The sequence below is a fragment of the Homo sapiens genome, chromosome 4 (genome assembly GCF_000001405.40).
Source record: "Homo sapiens chromosome 4, GRCh38.p14 Primary Assembly".
Lineage (NCBI taxonomy): Eukaryota > Metazoa > Chordata > Mammalia > Primates > Hominidae > Homo > Homo sapiens.
Genome location: NC_000004.12, coordinates 190024095 through 190045022, shown reverse-complemented (window position 1 = coordinate 190045022; position 20928 = coordinate 190024095). Strand labels below are relative to the sequence as shown.

The following is a 20928-nucleotide window of genomic DNA, read 5'->3' as shown; positions in this document are numbered from 1 at the left end:
TAGCTCATCTCCTTGTGTGTGACATAATTTATAATTTAATCCTCACATATGGGAGACACCGCATTCCAATGCCTGCAGGCAGTTTCTCTTTGTTTATTCCATTTGCCTTGTCAGAAGGGAACAACCCACACGGACCTGACATTCTTGTAATCAGGCACATCTGAGTGGAGCCCTGGTCTCTTAGGTTGATTACTTCTCTGGATCATTACCTTTATTTACTTCCAGTCCTGGGAGGTTTTCTTAATTTCCTTTCAACTATATTAGGCATTCTGTGAATTCTTGTAACTTCTTGGTGATTTTAATTGTCTGCATTAAGTGTTTAAAGTATATTATTTTTCTGAAAAGCAGAAATATCAATAATTGCATATATGAGTGAAATATTTTACATAGATTTTCTATGGCATCTATCACCATGAGAAATTCCAAGTTTTTTTCATTTGAAACACCCCTCTCATCAATAGACCATATTGTAATAATTTGTAGAGTGTGATTACTTTTATACCATTAGAAAATTAATTATATATTATGTACATATTTTTGAAATACTCCACTGCAATAAATAGTATATGGTCAGAAGTATTGTTTTCTCTAACCTAAAACTAATATGAGTAAAATTATCTACCTGAATTCAGACCTTTTGGCTTCAATGGCCATTCTGTCTCATTAGCACTTCCCTGATCCATAAAAGACATCATTCGTACTTTCTGCTTAATTCATAATTTATTGAAATGAGTAATTTAATGTTATAATGTTTTATGGCAATTTAGGACATTTTCAATAAATATATTGAGCTCAAGGCCCTGGCTAAGTATTCCTTTTGTGCTCAAAATCAGATTTTTCTGGCACAACTTCATTGCCTGCAATGGTATTTATAAAAAGTATGAATGCCAGCACATGGACTATTTCAATACTGTACTCATTTTTTCATGTATAAACATTTCATTAGCTATGAAACAAACCAAATACAAATGCTGAATGTACAGTATATATCAACAAATGCAGATTCTTCACCTAAGAAAACAATAAAAGACGAATTTTCTGTGACATGTCACCTGTTCATTAGTTCTTTAATATGATTTAGGCTATTCCAAATATAAGAAAATGTATGCATCACTATTTATGTTGTCTCAACACATTTTTTATCTAGGTCCTGAAGGACAGAAAAAAGAATGTATATTGTCAGATTTATTTTTATAGATTTTAGATGTTTCTTTTGCTGTATTTTCTGTGCATACTACTATGAATATATGGAGACAAGGACAAATGAGCATTTAAGTGGTTATATGAATTTTGCTTATATGGCTAATTGCTTATATGGATGTTGTAAATGACAAGATAAAATAGTAAAGTTTGGTAAACTTATCTGTGCCCTGTGAACTTTAGTTCACTTACTGTATAACTTAATTCAGTCACTAATAATTAATTTAAAAAGTGTTTTTTAAAAACTGCAAACCACATTTTATTACACATTTCTGAATCAGGAAGGGGTAAACTGTGACACAGCTTTCTCATGCCACTGACTTTTTTGGGGAGAAACATTCTGCAATAAAATAAGAGTTTCCAAACTCTATTTATAAAAAAGCTTGAGTTTTCTTCTGTGATTAACCTTCACTCCTCAGTCCCTTTTACCCAAGGAATGGTTCCTAGGTCATCTTTTGGAAGTTTAGTTTCTGGAAAGTTTTCGGCAAACCTCTCCTGAGCTTTGTCCCAGTTGTTGTTGTTCTTGTTTTGGAGAAGGTGAGTCTCTTTAATTGAGGATGGTTTGTCTGTCTCCAATCCTGCATGTGTTTGCCAAGGCTGAAGCTGTACTGGAGTTTTTATTCTCCCACCATCCTTCCCCAGGCCTTCTCCTGTTTTCAACACATCTTTTTCAACATCTTCTGACCTTTGTTGCTATCAGTAATTTCAGAATGAACAGATGCAGGAGCATCATCTCTTTGGAAATTTCCTTCACTTCCAATCTGCTCCCTATGTTTTCCAGCTCTATCTTTATATTTTTGATTCTCCAGTATCTTATCATCTTTGTAGTCTGTATTCTGTAAACCATATTTTACTCGTATATTTTTAAAATCCTTTTCTTCTTTCCAACTCGTTTCCTTCTTAGTTAATGATGGACCAACAAATGATTCATCTTTCTTGTCAAGGAAAAGGTGAGCTCTAACCTGCCCTGGTTCACATCCAACACAGCTATTACTGCCAGTGTGAATGTAATAAGATAACACAGTGTCTCCAACTTTCACTTTATCTCCATGCTCAGGTTCATAAGGCTCACATTTAGTTTTCAGCTGAACAATCCATTTTACATTAACAATTGTTCCATTTTGACTGTCTGATCCAAAAGGACATAACTTTGTAAGTCAAGGTCAAAATAGATTTCTGCATGAAACTTACACCAACTTCAGGGATTTGGAAAGTATGCTCCATATCATTTTCTCTTCCAATTGTAGCAGGTTTTGCAGCAGTAATGATGAAGAATGATCCTGTCTGTAGCACAGGTGATCTAATGACAATCACTCTCATATATGAGGCCACACTTTTTCCTCATCTTCCTCCTCAGTATCTTTTGCAGTTGCATTGCCTTTACTGGTAATGCCTTCATCATAACTACCCTCGGTCTGAGAGTCTGTAATTTCACCTTCTTCTGGTTCACTATCAGTCTCTGTGATTTTCTCATCCTTAAAGATGAATTGAGATGTTTTCATTAAAAGGAGATTCCATAGGATTTCCACTAAATGGAACAGTGAATTTTGGGGATTATTTTTGTGATGAATGCCTATTTTGGCTTTTTTTTTTTCACATTTGTGAAATTGTCTTTCCCGTTGCAGCTTGTATGTTCAACACTGAAGGCTTCTTGATCCTCTGAATTCAAATCCTTTTCCTCATCGTTTTTTTGTAGAAGAATCCTTTCTTTTCTCAATTTTTCGTTTTTGTTTCGTGCTATAAGTCTGATAAGGTTGCAAATCTACTCGAGAATGAAATCGATAGCGACAACTTTCCACATCACAGTGGTAATAAATTAAATCATAATATATTTGATTCTCAGAATCTTAATAGAAACCAGTGCTGTGGTCAAAATACAGTCCAGTATTTTCATCATCACTAAATCCAGTCTGTGACAAAGCCGCTTCCGCTGCAGCTCTCAAACTTCCAGCTAATGACGAACCTTCTAAGGACGTATCTTGTGCTGCTAATGCAGATGCTGGCTCCTGTGAATTGGAGGCAGATGACCCTCTTGTCTACACTTAACATTTGCTGTCCTATCAGTACCAGGGTGAGTGTCATTTTCTACTTATAACTGGTCGTTAGAATTCAAAGCAGGACTTTCAATATCCTGATCTTGCTGATTTGACAGTTCAGTCACTCACTTTATTTGGAAGACTAACGTCATTAGGGTAGGTCTGATAATAATAATCTGAGATTGACCAAGGAGCATGGTTCTCTGCGAGTACTTCTACATCAGACTTTTATTACCTCCATGTCTCCCACAGCGGAGTACGTTACTGAGTTCTTCCAGCTGCGTGCGGAGCTCCTGGCGGTTGCTCGTGTCGCTCTGAGCAGCCGTCCTGGGCGAGGCCATAGCTTCTCCCGTTCCCGCACCTGCCGCCTGCAGCTCCGCGTTCGGGTTCCAGCTTCTCCGCCCTCCTTCTCCGCTGGGCCAGCTCGGGCTCGGGGAGGGGGAGGAGCGGCCACAGCGAAGGCGCTGGCGGCGGCTACGGGCAGAGGCCGCGAGTTCGGGACCAGACGGCTGCGTTCTCGGAGGGGCTGCGCGGGGCCGGAGCGGGGGCCGGCGGAGCCACAGCCCCGGGGGCGCGCGGGCAGCCACAGGCAGCCTCCCCGGCCAGGAGGCCCCGAAACGCGGAGCCTGACGGGGCTGCGGCAAGAGCAGGGGGACGGCGATGGCCCTGCCGGATCTGCGTGCCTGGAATCCGGGGAACGACTGCGCCTTCCCCAGCCCCGGGGGCGCGGGAGGAGCGTCGAAGTCCAGGGGCCAGAAGCGCTCCGGCCGTTCCCGAGTTGAGCTGCGAACAGCGGCCAAGCGTGTTTTAAATCGAGCTTCCGTGTGGCGAGCTATGACCTGCTGGTTACTCTTATTTTTTTTCTCCATTCGTTGAGCTATGATTGACAAATTGAAAAGTGTGTATTTTTAGGGTGTACAATAGAGTGTTTTGAGATGTCAGTGGTCTTTAAATCACCTCAGTTAAGCTAGTTAGCCTGTCTATCCCCTCACATAGTGAATACGCCTCTGTGTGTGGTGAGAGCACCTGAGATCTACTCTTGCAGCAAATTTCAAGTACACAGTATTGTTAACTATAGTCACTATTCTGTACGTTAGGTCCCCAGCAGTTACTCACCTTGTAACTGAAGGTGCGCCCCTTCCATGGAAATCTTCCCACTTTCCCCACTTCCTAGCCCATGGGAACCAGCGTTCTACTGTTTCCATGGCTTTTTTAAATTTTTATTTACTTTTTTAGATTTTACATACAAACGAGATCATGCAGTAGTTGTCTTTCTGTATTCAGCTTATTTCACTTAGCATAATGTCTTCAAGATTTATCAATATTGTTGTGGATGAAAGAGTTTCATTTTTATTAAAGCTGAAATTATGTCTCTCAGTTTATCTGTATCAGAGGAATGCAGATACCCTTGATGATCCTGATTTTATGTCCTTTGGCTATATACTCCTAATTGGGATTAATGGTAGTTCTAGTTTAACAATTTTAAGGAACCTCCATACTGTTTTTCATAATAGCTGCACCAATTGACATCCTCAGCAACAGTGCACAAGTGTTCTCTTTTTCCACACCCTAACACTTTTTATCTTTTGACTTTTTGATAATAGGTATCCAAACACCACGATAAGGTGATACCTCATTGTGATTTTAATTACTGTGATAATTAGTGATGTTGAGCATTTTTTATATACCTGCTGGCCATTTGTATATCTTTGGAAAAATTGCTATTTATATATTTTGCCCAATTATTAATCAAGAAATTGCTTTTAATTCTGCTGTGGGTTTTTTGTATTGATTACTATGACATATATTTTGGATAGTAACATATTATCCTACATATGGTTTACAAATATTTTCTCCCATTCCATATAATGCCTTTATATTTTGCTGATTGTTTCCTTTATTGTGCAGAAAATTTTTACTTTGACATAGTTCCACTTGTTTATTTTTGCTTTTGTTGACTGCGCTCCTGGTGTCAAATCCGAAACATCATTGCCATGACCAGTGTCAAGGAGGCTTTTCCCCATTTTTTTTTTTAGAGGATTCATGATTTCAGTTCTTATGTTTAAGTCTTTATTTCATTTCAAATTCATTTTGTGATGACATGAGAGAAAGGTTTACTTTTTGTCTGTGCATATCGAGTTTTTCCTACACCACTCCTTGATGTGTTTATCCTTTCTCCATTCTGTGGGATTGGTCGAATGTATATTTGTGAGTTTATTTCTGGGTCCTCTATTCTGTTCTATTGGTTTTTATGTAGGTACTATACTGTATTAATGACTACAGCTTTGTAATATAGTTTGAAATCAGGAAGTGTGAGGCTTTCAGCCTTTTTGTTCTTCTCAGTATTTGGCTATTTGAGGTCTTTTGTGGTTCCATACTAATTTTAAAATTGTCGTTCTACATTTTAATAAAATGGCATTAAAATTTTGATAAAAATTTAACTCTGTAGATCACTTTGTGTAGTATGGATATTTTAACAATATTAATTTTTAGAATCCATGAACACATATTTCCCATTTTGTATTCTTCATTTTCTTTCCTCAACATTTTATAGTTTTCAGTATGCAGATCTTTCATATTCTTTGTTAACTCATTCCTAAGTATTTCATTCTATTTGATAATATTGTAAATGGAACTATCTTTATTCCTGTTTCAGATATTTTGTTGTTACTGTAAAAAAAATGCAACTGATGTTCATATGTTAATATTGTATCCTGAGAATTTACTGACTTAGTTGGTTAGTTATAACAGGTTTTTTTTTTTCTGGTAAAATGGTGGTTATTCTGAATTCTGGTTAAACTTTAAATTGATAATTGCTATTATCATTTCAAAATTATTTAAAATATGACCAGATGGATTCCTGCTTTCATGAATTCAATGGAATTCAAATCTTCCCATTTAAAATAATTTTGTCTGGTTGACCTAGACCCCGGGGATCGGGGGCACCCCGTGGGAGCCCGGAGATTCGCCTGGGGGTGGGAGGGAGAAGCCGTCAGAGAGGGGGCTGAGCTGGGGAAGCAGAGAGGGGCTCGGGGACAGCCGGGAGGAGAGAGGGTCGTGTCGGAGACCCAGTGGGGAGAGAGAATGGGCCGGAAAAGGAGGAAGGGTGAGAGTGGGCAACAGGACGGCTTCCCGGCGCGGCAGGGAACTTTGCTGAAACTGCGGGCCCCAGGGACCAGCGCGGGCAGGGTGGGAGGGAGTGGAGAGGACCCAGCAGACCCGAAGGTCAGTGTGGAGAAAGGGACGTTTCCCGGTTCCTTCGTCTCTGCCCAGCGTTCTGCGGGCGTGGCCCCCTCCAGGGGCAGGGGAGGAGGTGGCTCCCGGCGGGCTCGGAGAACTAAGGGGCGCACACCCGCTTCGCAGGGCCGGGGTGACAGGGGAAGCCTGAGACGGCTGCGGATCTCGCTGGCCCCGTGGGTGGGCGCGGGGGACGCGGGAGGGGCCGAGCTCACGGGGCCAGCGCCGGGGCCTGCAGGTGGCCCTGGAGGAATCTGCAAGCACCCGCCCGTGCAGCGGGCCTTCCGGGAGACCAGTGTGGACAGCGCCCTGGACACGCCCTTCCCAGCTGGAACATCTGTGAGGCTGGAATTTAAGCTCCGGCAGACAGGGAAGCGGCTGGAGGAAGGCCTGGAAGAAACCCAAGTGCAAAGCCCAGCCCGAGAGGAGGAAGCAGAAATGCCTGACCTGCGTCAAAATGGACTGTGAGGATAAGGTTCTGGGCAGGATGGTTCGCTGCCCTCCAGAGACGCAGACTCGGCGGGAGCCTGAGGAGCACCAGGGGGCCGGGTGCAGCCCGGCGGAGCGGGCGGTGAGGACCCCACGGCTGCCGCTTCCCTGCACGGTTCGCCTCCTCCAAGGCCCGGCCCCCAGCGGAGCCCAGCGCTGAATCGCATGGCGCCCCCTGGAGCCCTGGCGGGGAAAACCAGTGGAAGACCCACCTCCCAGGGAGAGGACCCCACTGTATCCCCAGATAATAAAACTGTCCTCTCCCCCAAAAAATAAATAAATAATTTTGTCTGGTCTTTGAAAATGTGTATCCCCTGTGTACTGGTCAAAATGCTGCCCATTTATCTATATGCCTAATTAGCCAACTTTTTAATGAAGTTATTTAACATTCTTTTTTATTATGAAACAAAACAGTAAATTTGTTAATGGTTTTAATATCATCTAATATGATTGAAAATATGTCAATTTTTCATTGCCAAAGAATCTTTGTGTTATTTATTTTACTCTGTTATGTATTCTGTCCATAAAGGTCTAAGTGGCTTAGAATCTTGCCTAACATATTGTATGTGCTAAGTACTAACTACTCTAATTCATCAAATTATCTTTCTATACCATTCTTAAAATACAATATTATTTTCTATTTATTTTTATTAAAATTTTTTGCCTAATCTAATTATTTATGAAAATTATGAGGTCTATTCAGTTTGTCCTCTTGATAAAAGCCAAAGTTTTTTTTTTTCTCTCTTTTTTTTTTTTTTGAGACGGAGTCTCCCTCTGTTCCCCAGGCTGGAGTGCAGTGACACAATCTCGGCTCACCACAACCTCCGCTTCCCGGGTTCAAGTGATTCTCCTGCCTCAGCCTCCCAAGTAGCTAGGACTACAGGCATGTGCCACCACGCCTGGCTAATTTTTGTATTTTTAGTAGAGATGGGGTTTCACTATATTGGCCAGGCTGGTCTTGAACTCCTGACCACGTGATCCGCCCTCCTCAGCCTCCCAAAGTGCTGGGATTATAGGCTTGAGCCACCTCACCAGGCCTTTTTTTTTATCTCTTTATTAATACGTGAGAGAGTACAAATGCCGCTCCCTTACAGAAGCATGTTGCATAGTGATGAAGTATGGGCTTTTGGTGTGACAATCATCTGAATGTTGTTTATTGTCCCAATTAGTTATTTTCTCATTCCTAAACCCTCTCCAACCTCCCATCTTTCTGAGTCTCCAGTGTCTATTTTTCCAGTCTCTATATCCAAGTGTATGCTTAATTGAGTTCCCACTTACAACTGAGAAAATACTGAATTTGATTTTCTGTTTCTGAGTTTTTTCACTTACAGTAATGGCCTCCGGTTTTATTCATGTTGTTGCAAAAGACATGATTTTATTCTTCATGGCTGAGTAGCATTCCATGGTATACTTGTATAGCACATTTTCTTTATTCGATTATTGATTGATAAATTTAAATTGATTTCATATATCGGCTATTATGAATAGTGCTGTGATAAACATGTCAGCATGGGTATTTTCTTTATGTAACAAATTGTTTTCCTTTGGGTAGATACCAAGTAGTGGGAGTGCTGAATCAAATGGAAGTTCTATTTTTAGTCTATTTTGAAATCTCCATACTGTTTTCCAGAGGTTGTAGAAAGTTACTTTCCCACAAACAATGTATAAGTGTTCTCTTTTCCCTGTATCCTTGCCGATAGCTCATTTTTCTGCTTTTTAGTAATAGCCATTCTGCAGGGTGTAAGTTGGTATCTCATTGTGGTTTTTAATTGGCATTTCTCTGATCATTGACAAGGTTGAGCATCTTTTACGTGCTTGTTGACCATTGACCATCAGTGTCTTTCTTTTTTTTAATGTTCATGTTCTTTGCTTGCTTTTTAATGAGGTTACTTGTTTTATTTTTGTTGAGTTGTTTGAGTTCCTTGCATATTCTGGACATTAGATCTTTGTCACATGCAAAACTCGTAAACATTTATCTCATTCCATAGGTTTTCTGTTCACTGTGTTAATTAGGAAGCTCATTTTCAGGAGCTTTTTAGTTTAATTGAGTTGCTGTTGTCTATTTTTGTTATTGTTACATCTGCTTTTGAGATCTTAGTCATAAATTCTTTGTCCAAGTCAATGTCTAGAAGAGTTTATCCTAGAGTTTCTTCTAGCATTTTTATAGTTTCAGGTCTTACATTTTAGTCTTTTAATCCATATTGAGTTGATTTTTGTATATGGTGGGACATAGGGGTCCCATTCCATTCTTCTGCATACGGAAATATAATTTTTCCAGCACAATTTGTTGAATAGGATGTCATTTCTCCAGTGTGTGTTTTTGTTGACTTTGTAAAAGATCAGTCATTTGTAGGTATGTGGCTTTATTTCTAGGTTCTCTATTCTGTACCATTGATCTATGTGTCGATTTATATCAGTACCATGCTGTTTTGGTTACTACAGCCTTCTAGCATAATTTTAAGTCAGATAATGTAATATCTCCAGCTTTATTCTCTTTGCTTAGATTTGCTTTGACTATTCAGGCTCTTTTTGTGGTTCCATAAGAATTTTAGTGGGTTTTTTTTCTAATTTTATAAAAAATACCATTGGCATTTTGGTAGGAATTGCATTTAATATGTAGATTGTTTTGGGCAGTAGAGTCATTTTATTGATCATAATTCTTCCAATCCATAAGCATGGGATGTTTTTCTCATTTGTGTCATGTACAATTTCTTTCATCAGTGTTTTGTAGTTTTCCTTGAAGGGATCGTTCATCTCTTTGACCAATTGTATTTCTAAGCATTTTACCTTTTTTTGTAGCTATTGTAAAAGGAAGTGACTTTTTAATTCAGTTCTCAGCTTGATCATCATTAGTGTATAAAAATGCTATCAACTTTTGTACGTTGATTTTTGCATCCTGAAACATTATTAAATTTATTTATCAAATCTGAGTTTTTTGGTGGTCTTTAGAATTTTTGTATATATGATATTATATTATCATCAAAGAGGGACAATTTGACTTTCTAATTACAACCACATAGATGCTCCCACCAAGATCAATAGACAGAGTCTCTGGGGAGGGCACAAGTGATGGTATTTCTTTAAGCTGGCCATGTGATTATGGCTGGAAGCATGGGCCGAGAGCCACTTAGCTAAGCCTTGCCTCTCAAGTCTGTCTGTCTTTCTTTCTTTCTTCCTTTCTTTCTTTCTGTCTGTCTGTCTTTCTTTCTTTTCTTTCGACAGAGTTTTCACTCATTGTACAGGCAGGAGTGCAGTGGCACCATCTTGGCCCACTGCAACCTCCACCTCCCAGGTTCAAGGGATTCTGCAGTCTCAGCCACCCGAGTAGCTAGGATTACAGGCACCAGCCACCACACCTGGCTAATTTTTGTATGTTTTAGTAGAGACATGGTTTGGCCATGTTGCCCAGGCTGGTCTTGAACTCCTGACCTCAGGTTATCTGCCCACTTCCGCCTCCCAAAGTGTTGGGATTACAGGCATAAGTCACCACACCCGGCTGCCTCTCAAGTTTCAATGTGCATATGAATTATTTCCGATTCCAGGCTCTCTCTTAGTAATGTGATTCTGCAGGTTTGGAAGCGGTCCATGAATTGGCTTCTTTAAAAAGTCTCCTCTTAATGCTGATGTTTCTTCCACTACATCCAATATAGTAGCACTCAGCTAGAGAAAGTAGGCACAGCACAGAGCTCCTGACACCCAACACTGTTACCACAACACAAATACTTTTGGCTCAAAGTGGAAGCCACCAATCGCCATTTTCAAACATGTCATTTTCTGCTGGCTCTTTGCAGTTTAGAAAGCCTAGAGAAGGCATCAATGTTTGAGTAAGTCTGCATTTGGAAAACATGTACACATGAGTTAATACAATGTTTATTGAGCACATACTATGTGTTCAGAAGTCTGTTACAGAGCACTGTTCAGGAAACATTACATGATGTGAGTTAATCCTCATAGCACCCTGGGGAGTTGGGTGCTAAGTTTTCTGTAATTTTCAGGACTTAAATGAAGGGCCTAGCATTTCTATTTTTTCTTCCATTTTAAAAATTATTTACCTGGAAAATAAAATGTGCAGAATAAAAGCTATATCGACAGATGAAGGGATAGAGAAAAAAGGATGAACTGTTCAGAGAGATGTTTTATATTTATATTTACCTTCTTGTGCCTTGTGGAGCAGCTACTGAATTTGCAGGAATGGAAAACAAGTTGCTAGGTGAGGTGTCTCTAGAAGCGCTGGCTTCAATGAAAAAGAAAGTATAACCCCCCAATATAGAATTATTTGCTTCCACTTATCTGCTTTTCCATTTTAGGAAATTGTGGGCACCAGCTCAGGAGAGGCAGCAGGAGCCCCCGCCCGAATCTCTGGTCTCCTTTAATGAGTTCTGTGAGAGAAGATTCTAGGGTGAGGCCAGACCTGGATGAGGCCTTAGAAGAGGGTGGATCTGGGCAGGGCTGGAACAGAAAGTGGACCCCATGTTTCTGATGTTCATGCTGGTGGAGTATTTCCAGTTCTGTCTTTCCTAAGCCTTCCCAACAGAGACTTGACTCTTAGAGCTTGTGTAATTTTAATCTGTTTTAGCCACTTCCCTGTCAATTTTTATAACACATGATAACAAGAAACTTAAGCAAAACTCTTAGGGTTTTTTAGGACAATTATATGAGAAGCTAAAAACTTATTTTTACCAAGATAAAAGAAATAGAAATAATCACAACAACAACAATAATTCTTCTGTCCATGAATAGTCCTTCAGGTAGTGACATCGGAACTCAAGGAACAGCATAAGGGAAATGGAGCAAATGCAGCCAAGGCCCCCTGTGCAGCTCCCTTCTCCCTTCCGACTACAGGATGCTGAATTCAGCCATTAATCCATTTCCCTTCCGACCACAGGATGCTGAATTCAGCCATTAATCCATTTCCCTTCCGACCACAGGATGCTGAATTCAGCCATTAATCCGTTTCCCTTCCGACCACAGGATGCTGAATTCAGCCATTAATCTGTTTGCTCTAGATGAAAAGTTACTGGACAGTAGAAACCATGAATTCTTCATCTGTTTTTCTGATGGTCATGTGATATAGTTTAGATGTCCCCTCCAAATCTCATATTGAATTTTAATCCCCAATGTGGCAGGTGGGACCTGGGGAGGAGGTGGTTGAATCACTGGGTGAGTCCCTCATGGATCTGTGCCATCCTTGTGATAGTGAGTACTCGTGAGATCTGGTTGTTTAGAAGTGTGGCCCATCCCTCCCCCATCTTTCTTGTTTCTGCTTCTACCATGTGAGATGCCTGCTTCTCTTTCACCATGATTGTAAGCTTCCCCAGGCCTTCCCAGAAGCAGACGCTGGTGCTATGCTTCCTGTACAGCCTGCAGAACCATGAGCCAATCAAACTCTTTTCTTATAAATTACCCAGTCTCAGGTTTTTTAAATAGCAATGCAAGAATAGCTTAATACCTCATATGAAAAGAAAGCAATTGATATATTTACCAGTTTGAGTACTTACCAGTTTGAGTCTCCAGACCTCTGCCTTGCTTCAACTCAAAGAACAGGAAGGGAGCAACCTCCATCTACTGCTCCTGATTATGGGAGAATCTTCAGTTCATCTTAAAACATTTCAGTCAAAAGCACCGTGTTTTATGTAGAAGAATGAGGGTGTCTGAAAGAATGGGTCTCTTTATTTATTTTTATTTCTGAGACAGGGTCTCTTTCCCTGTCATTCTGGCTGGGGTGCAGTGGTTCACTGCAGCTTTGACATTCTGTGCTCCAGCGATTCTCCCACCTCAGCCTCCCAAGTAGCTGGGACCACACGTGCACACTACCACAACCAGATAATATTTGTATATTTGGCAGAGATGAGGTTTTTCTATGTTGAGCATGCTGGTCTTGAACTCCTGAGCTCAAGTGATCCTCCAGCCTCTGCCTTTCAAAGTGCTGGAATTACAGGTGTGAGCCACCACACCGGGCAGATGGGTCTTAACTGATTTTAATCAGGATACATGAGCATGGAAGACATGCCCTTAATTTTTTTCCTAATACAATATTTGACAGTTATATAACTATGATTTTTTTATTCCTGTGATTCATAAGGATATGATAGTAAAAGGCCTTGAAAGCCTGTAGGAAAAAAGTGCTATATTGTGCTTGAAACCACCTTTTACTCTGAAAGCAAGTGCCATCCAGATACATCTTTTGAGAAGATATTTTCTCCTGCTGCATTTTAGTCAAACAGCTGAGTGTGTCTTGAAGTAGTTTTTTGATTTTTAACAGGACAAGTGTATTTTCTAAGACCCCAAACTCAGGAGTGGCCATGGGGCAAATCACCGCTGCACACATGGAATGCATGCACAGCAAATGCATTTCTCATCCCGAACCAGGGGTTGTTCCCCCTGGGTGCACACAGGAATCACCAGGGAGGCTTTTAAAATTACCTAAACTCAAAAGGCAATAGATAAGTGAACTCAGAATCCCTGCAGTGGGACCTGAGCCATAGTGCTGTTTAAAGCTCTCTGGGTGACTATGGGGTACAACCAAGCCCCCAAACTGCTGCTTTAAATCAGCCTCTTCGGGTGAACTAGTGGCAAATGGTTTCCTGAAATGAATGGTTTAAATCAGCCTTTTCTGGTGAACTAGTGGCAAATGGTTTCCTGAAATGAATGGTTTAAATCAGCCTCTTCCGGTGAACTAGTGGCAAACGGGTTCCTGAAATAAATGGAAAGATTTGCTGCTGGGTTGTGCTCTTCTGATCTTACCTGCATTACCTACTTTTCCTTGCCGAACTGACCTCTGCTACGTATTTTATTCCTGATTCAATCCAGTTCTACTCATACCAAATGCATAGTATGCACTAGGTGCCCTTGCATTGCTGAACCTCACCGTGGGGAGAGGACTTTGCTGAATAATAATTGCATCCTAAAAAAACTCAAAATACTGGACTCAAATGATCCTCCTGCCTTGGCCTCCCAAGAGCTGAGACTGTAGGCATGAGCCACCGTGCTTGGCCTATACCCTAAAAAATTAAAACTATCTTACTTACTAAATTGATGTAAACATGGGAAGACCTAGAAGGTCACCGAAGTGTTACAACATAAGTAAATACCTTGGAATATTAATATCCATCTGATGATGCCCCGAGAAAACATGTCCCACTTTAAAACAGTACAAAACAGTGCTATTATTCTGAGATATGAAGTTAAAATTTTGTGCAAATAGGTAATATTTAAATTTTTATATATGTATAACATTCATGCAGAAAGACGTATACAAAGAAATCATGTAAAGTTCAATGAATTATTACAAAGTGAACACACGTGTGTAACCTAGAAATAGAACCAGCTTCACAGATGTCCTGGTAACCACTTTCTCTCTTTTGCTCCCCCAAAGTCACTAAGATCTTAAGAGCTAACAGTGTAGATCAACTTTGTATTATTATACATGTTTTATTACAGAAAATTTAAAACATACACAAAATAAAAGAAACAGTACAATAGGCCTGTTACCCAGGCTCAACAACAACTAATAACATGCCAATTTTGTGTTATCTATACTTCAACTCATTTCTCACACAGACTTTGTTATTTATTATTATTTTTTGTGGTATAAAATGTGTGCTCATTGAAGGTAAAATCTTGGCTGAGCACAATGGCTTAAGCCTGTGTAATCCCATCACTTTGGAATGACAAGGCAGGAGGATCATTTGAGGTCAGGAGTTTGAGAGCAGCCTGGGCAGCATAGTGAGACCACATCTTTATTAAATTTTTTTTTTAATTAATCAGGCGCGGTGGTGCATGCCTGTAGTTCCAGCTACTTGGTATGTTGACATAGCAGGATCCCTTGATTCTACGAGTTTGAGGCTACAGTGAGTTGTGATTGTGCCACTGCACATCAGCCTGGGTGACAGAGTGAGACTCTGTCTCAAAAAAAAAATAAATAAAGGTTCGACCTTAACTAGCTTTTTACACATAAACACACCCATATAAGCAATCCCTCTTTTAACAATAGAAGTACCAAACTAAAAATCATTAGTGTGAACCCACTTTTAACTCAGACTTTATCTTTTAATAAGTTTCTTTTCTTTTTTTTTTTTTTGAGGTAAGATGTGCACTCATTGAAAGGTCTAATCTTGGCTGGGCATGGTGGCTCACATTCGTAACCTCATCACTTTGGAAGCCAGAGCTCAGGAGTTTGAGACCAGCCTAGGCAACATAACAAGGCCTCACTGGGGCAAGAGAGTGAGACCTCATCTCTACAACAATTTTTTAAAAGTTAGTTGGGCATAGTGGTGCACACTTCTAGTCACAGCTATTTGAGAGGCTGACTTGGGAGGATCACTGGAGTCTGGGAGGTCAAGGCTGCAGTGAGCTGTGATTGCACCACTGCACTCCTTCCAGAGGGACAGAGTGAGGCTCTGTCAAAAAAAGGTACAATTTTAACTGTACATGTTTGATACATCAACACATCCATATAAACAATCCCTCTCTTAAAAATAAAAGTACCCAATTTAACAGTTATTAATATTCATATGAATTACCTAGAAGCTTTTTGTTTGTTTTGGTTTGGATTTTTATTGAAAGGGGACACCTAGAAATGTCATTTACAATCTAGATTTTGATAAAAATAAGGCTGAGTTTTTTCTTTTTTTGAGATGGAGTTTTGCTCTGTCGCCCAGCTGGAGTGCAGTGGATTGATCTCGGCTCACCAAAACTTCTGCCTCCCGGGTTCAAGCAATCCTCCTGCCTCCCAACTAGCTGGGACTACAGGCATGAGCCACCACATTCAGCTAATTTTTTTTTTTGTATTTTTAGTGCAGATGGGGCTTCCTTATGTTGGCTAGGCTAGCCTTGAACTCCTGACCTAAGGTGATCCACCCGCCTTGGCCTCGCAAAGTGCTGGGATTACAGGCATAAGCCACCATGCCCAGCCAGTCCTAAGTTTTGCCTGAGAATTTCTCTTTCTAAGAAAGTACATCATATGGCAGTTACAAGGTCTCTTTTGTCTAAAATAAATAGAATTTAATAAATAAAAATTTAAAAAATTTACCTGAGATTAAAGGACAAATAAAAACACATGGGTAATATGTTCTCTGTAGGAATATATTTTAACAATGACATAAATTATTAATAATCACTAAATGTTGTAATAATTTATTAACTAAAATTAACAAAATTCCTATTACGATATCTAGGAAAATACTTTCTTAGAGTAAAATATTCTCATATCTTGAGAGAGCATTGGTTAAAAACAGCAAAGATGTGCAAGTCGATGTCTTATCAAGTACTTACTATCACGTAAGTAGCAGACCCCTCTTCACAGCTTTTACAGAGTTATCCAAAACGCAGTCATTTACACAAGAGCAGACAATTTTCCTAGCTTTCTATTGAGTTTATAGGTTAATGTTGTTACAAAATTTATGAAATTACCTGACCAAATTTTATATATTATTTCATAATATATCAAAATTTATTTAGATGTCAAATTTCATATCATAATATTATAATATATAACGATATCATATTATGATAAGTTCCATTTACTTTCAGACAATTTCACTAGGCAGTGTCTGTCTACCACTAATTCTTTTTTCGTTCCACTATTTGCACAGGCAGCACAGCTGGGAAAACACAGACTCACCCAACACAGTCTCTTCCCTGTGACTTTCTCCTCCTCAAGGAATCAGTTCATCAGTCAATCAAGTCATTTGGGACTGGAGGCTGAGTACTCCTTAACATAGAAGGTCTCGTTCCTGCATGCTTTCCTCAGCAGAGGGGGAGACAAGAAGGTCCTTTTAGGGGACACTTGCTTGGACATAGACTAGGCTAGTTGGAGGGCTCTGACCAGCAGAGACAGACTCCGCCGCAGTAGGAAGGGATGAGGCAGCTGTTCTGAACCTGGAGCTCCACCACACCTTGTCCTGTCTCACTGAGGCAGTTTTGAGAGGCTGCCCTGGAATACGTCTTGCTGGTGGATGTTGAGAATCAATGTGGGCTTTGACGGGATTCAGGTGGTGTCCGCAGTGTGAAGACAGGAGCTGATGTTCAGAATCTAGGCTGTTTGTCTTGTGATCAGTTGGGTTACCTGTTTGAGACCAAGTCCATTTTCACTAGGGAGGGCTGAATAAAGCCCACAGAACACAATGGCGCTCCCAGGATGACTGAGGAAGGGTGAGAATGGGGGAAAGTTTTTCCACCGAGACTTTTTGCTACCTCAGGAATCGGGGGCTAATTAGGTTAGCACTGACTCAACCTAATCAATTCAATTTTATTGCATTTGATCTAATTATCTTCCCCATTTTTAAGGTAGGAAGGGCCATTTCATTTGGTATTTATTTTTTCTCTGCATTTTTATTTCATCATATATGTGTGGACCTAATACAATCAACCATAATTTGACATTTGTTGTTTCCAAGCATTTAAGAAATTATAATATCTATGCATACAATGTTAACACTATGTATAATAAATTCTCTTTCTGTGCAAAATATATAACATATGACAATATAGGCATGTTTAATTGTGCATCTTGAAAGGTGAACAGGATCATAAATCCTTCCAGGTAGGAACTGGGACAGAAATAGGAAGAAATGCTTCCCCGATTTTCCGGTCCCTGTGCTCCCGGTTCTTTGTTTTCTGGACACCATGACAGGATCCTGAAAATGTCTCCCTTTAACTGTGTCTAGGTCCCCAGTAGAACTACAGCAAGAAACTTCTGATTGAGGCTCTAAGAAGCGGCAGGAATGAGAAAACTCTTCAGCCAATAAGAGTAAGCCACGCCCAGCCGAGGGACGTATAAAAGGCAGGTCTAGCAGACTAACCCACACTCTGCCTTTGGACGTGAGAGAGAGCGCACCTTTCACTTGAGCTTCAACATGGGAAAGGGAAATGAAGACTCCGATCTCCACTGCTCCTCCATCCAGTGCTCCACTGACCAGCCCCCTTTCCAACAGATCTCCTTTACAGAAAAGGGCTCAGATGAGAAGAAACCATTCAAAGAAAAAGGCAAGACCGCCTTCTCCCATTCCAGTGAGAAGCACATACAAAGGCAAGGTAAGGCCTTGGGCTGCTCCTGTGGAGTCTGGAAGGAGGGTTGGAATCAGGGATACTGAGCTGTGTCTTTAGCAGGGTTTTATTTTGAGATTTGGGGATGGGAAATGGCTTAGTGCCCTCAGGGGACTTGAGAAATGTGTTCACTCGTGACACTGGCAGAAGAGCTTCACATGAAAGACTGATCCGCAAAAATGCATCAGAGATAGACTGTGGGACTCTGCCTAGGGAGAGGTGAGTCACCTAAACCTTCTCTTGCAGCAGGATCGGAGCCCAATCCAAACAAGGAGAATTCTGAGGAAACCAAGCTCAAGGCCGGGAACAGCACTGCTGGATCAGGTAAGATTTGACTCTTTCAAGGTGAGAAGGGACAGGGAAGCAACACAGGCTCCCCTGGCAAGGAAACTGGGAGCTCCTTGGCAGCCAGGGCCGTACAGATCCTGGACACTGGAGAACAGAAGAGAGCTGGGGTTTGGTGGTAACCTCAGCTCCTGTGTGTCCAGGATGGACTAGGAATTTCAGGGTGTTCAGTTGGAGGCACTTTCTCAAACTCTCATTGTGTTCACAGAACCAGAGTCCAGCTCATATCGGGAAAACTGCAGGAAAAGAAAAATGAGTTCCAAGGACAGCTGCCAAGACACAGCAGGTAGAATCTTGGTGTTTGTTGTTGGTGGTGGTGGTTTTTTTGTTTTTGGTTTGCCCCAAAAGGCAAATAATCAGGAAACTTTTATACGAGGCTTGAGCGGAAAGGGAGTTACTTATTGACGAGTAAATTTTTGAGATCTTAGCACTCTGAGAATATTTGGGGACTCACAGGGGGTTCAGCCTCACTTCATTCCAGTGCTGAGATGGTCAGGAAGGAGTGGGAGAGACAAGTGGGGTTCACCTGGGTGTACAGGGGGTTCTGGAAATCAGGGTCTGTGGGGACTGCTCTGGTGAGTCTCTCACATGCTTTCTTTGCAGGGAACTGTCCAGAAAAGGAGTGCAGCTTGTCATTGAATAAAAAATCAAGATCCTCCACTGCTGTGCACAACAGTGAAATCCAGGAGACCTGTGATGCCCACCATAGGGGACATTCCAGGGCTTGCACTGGGCACAGCAAGCGGCATAGGTCTCGGGCCCTAGGAGTCCAAACACCGTCAATTCGAAAAAGCTTGGTGACTTCTGTGCGAGCTATGTCAGAGGCTGTTTATCAAGACCTAGCCCAGGTGTGGGCACAGCAGATCCATTCTCCACTTACCTGTGAGCAGCTGACACTGCTCACTCGGCTCCGGGGGCCTCTGTGTGCCCAGGTGCAGACCTTGTATTCCATGGCCACCCAGGCAGCTTATGTCTTCCCTGCTGAGAGCTGGCTTGTCCCAGCCACACTGCCAGGTCCTGGGGAATCAGCCCTGGATAGAGAAGCCCATCCCTTCCCTGGGCAGGAGATAACTGAGACTGTCAGTGGATCAGATGAGGCTAAGCTGTGAGCACCCTGACCCTATTCAGCAGAGATGCAGCTCTGGGAATGAGAACAAGGATCTGCTTCTTCTCAGATTCTTCCAGATGACCAGCAGTGACAATTTTAGACACACTGTGTTAATAAATGACAGAACCTGAAGAAGTCATAGGAAAGAAACTTGAGCGGTATACTCAGAATGGTGAGAGCCCTGAATTTTGCAGACCGCTAAGACTATAGACAAATTTTATATTTCATGTTAGACATTTGATGCCTTTTGGATGTCTGATGACAGTCATGCATTTCTATATAATCAGAAAAACATTAGAATGTAATCGTGAATTTGCATATTTTAGATTGTAGAAAAGTAAATATAAAATTATGTGCTCCTTTTTTGTTTTTTTTTTTTTTTGAGACAGTCTTGCTATGTTACCCAGGCTGGAGTGCAGTGGCACAATCTTAGCTCACTGCAACCTCTGCTTCCTGGGTTCAAACAATTCTCATGCCTCAGCCTCCCAAGCAGCTGGGACTACAGGCATGTACTGCTATGCCTGGCTAATTTTTTTTTTCCTGTATTGTTAGTAGAGACAGAGTTTTGTCACTTTGGCCAGGTTGGCCTCGAACTCAGGTGATCTGCCAGCCTCCGCCTCCCAACGTGCTGGGATTACAGGCATGAGCCGCCTTACCAAGAAATTGCTTCTCTTTTAATCCAGAAAAGGTTGTAGGCTCTCACTCTTCCAGCCTGAACCCATGGAGTACTAATATCCACAAACCATTAATAGCACTCCCTGTGGGAAAATGTCTATATATTTTTAGTTTGATATAATTATAGTAAAATTACTATGCAAGCTGTTTACTTTTAATATTTCTACATAAAATTTAAGTCAAGATATAGTAAATGGTAAATGATTGTACTTATTTATTGACCTGCCTCATGTTTCATTTCATTTTAAACATCCTAAATTTATATTTTATTATATTTTATACATTTCAATTGATTGTACTATATTGCAGGATATGGAGATTTCATCACGTACTACAATACAGTGTATTTTGTTATATTTGACGTATATTCTACTTGTATTTTGTACTGAGATCATACACTATTTCATTATCTAAGTGTATTAATTGTTTGGTTGCTTTATAATTTTCATTTTATGTAATGAAATAAACAATGTTGTTTGGAATTTTAAATTTCTTTCATATGGAATTTGTATTTAATAAAAATGTGAAAAAGAGAATGTCTTATCGTCACTTCCGTGTCATCCTATCCCTGACCTCCCCACAGCCCACAGCTCTTGTCATAGTGCGGGAATAGTGTTCTATCACTACAGGAAATGGGGCCAATTCAATGGTAATACACAGATATGAATTGGAGATACAGAGATTTTATTCTCGAGCACTGCAGTATAAAAGAATCACAGTAACGCGAGTCACACAATTTTTGGGTTGACACTGCTTATGAGTTATGCTTACACTCTGCTGTAGAATAACGCT

The 20928-nt window shown here is 40.9% G+C and overlaps 1 protein-coding gene and 2 pseudogenes across 2 annotated transcripts; 2 read left to right on the top strand and 1 right to left on the bottom strand.

The window, feature by feature from the left end:
* On the bottom strand, positions 737 to 4033 carry AGGF1P1 (angiogenic factor with G-patch and FHA domains 1 pseudogene 1; annotated as a pseudogene).
* On the top strand, positions 6600 to 7227 carry RARRES2P4 (retinoic acid receptor responder 2 pseudogene 4; annotated as a pseudogene).
* FRG2 (FSHD region gene 2) lies at positions 17767 to 20656 on the top strand. Of its 2 annotated transcripts, none has more exons than NM_001005217.4 (4): positions 17767 to 17996; positions 18258 to 18332; positions 18562 to 18639; positions 18957 to 20656. In NM_001005217.4, the coding sequence occupies exons 1-4, from the start codon at positions 17819 to 17821 to the stop codon at positions 19460 to 19462; spliced, it is 837 nt and encodes a 278-aa protein (NP_001005217.1). In that variant the 5' UTR covers positions 17767 to 17818; the 3' UTR covers positions 19463 to 20656. The 2 variants fall into 2 exon arrangements, with proteins under 2 accessions (NP_001005217.1, NP_001273749.1); NM_001286820.2 differs by having other exon boundaries at positions 18255 to 18332.
* Positions 20657 to 20928: the final 272 nt, after the last annotated feature.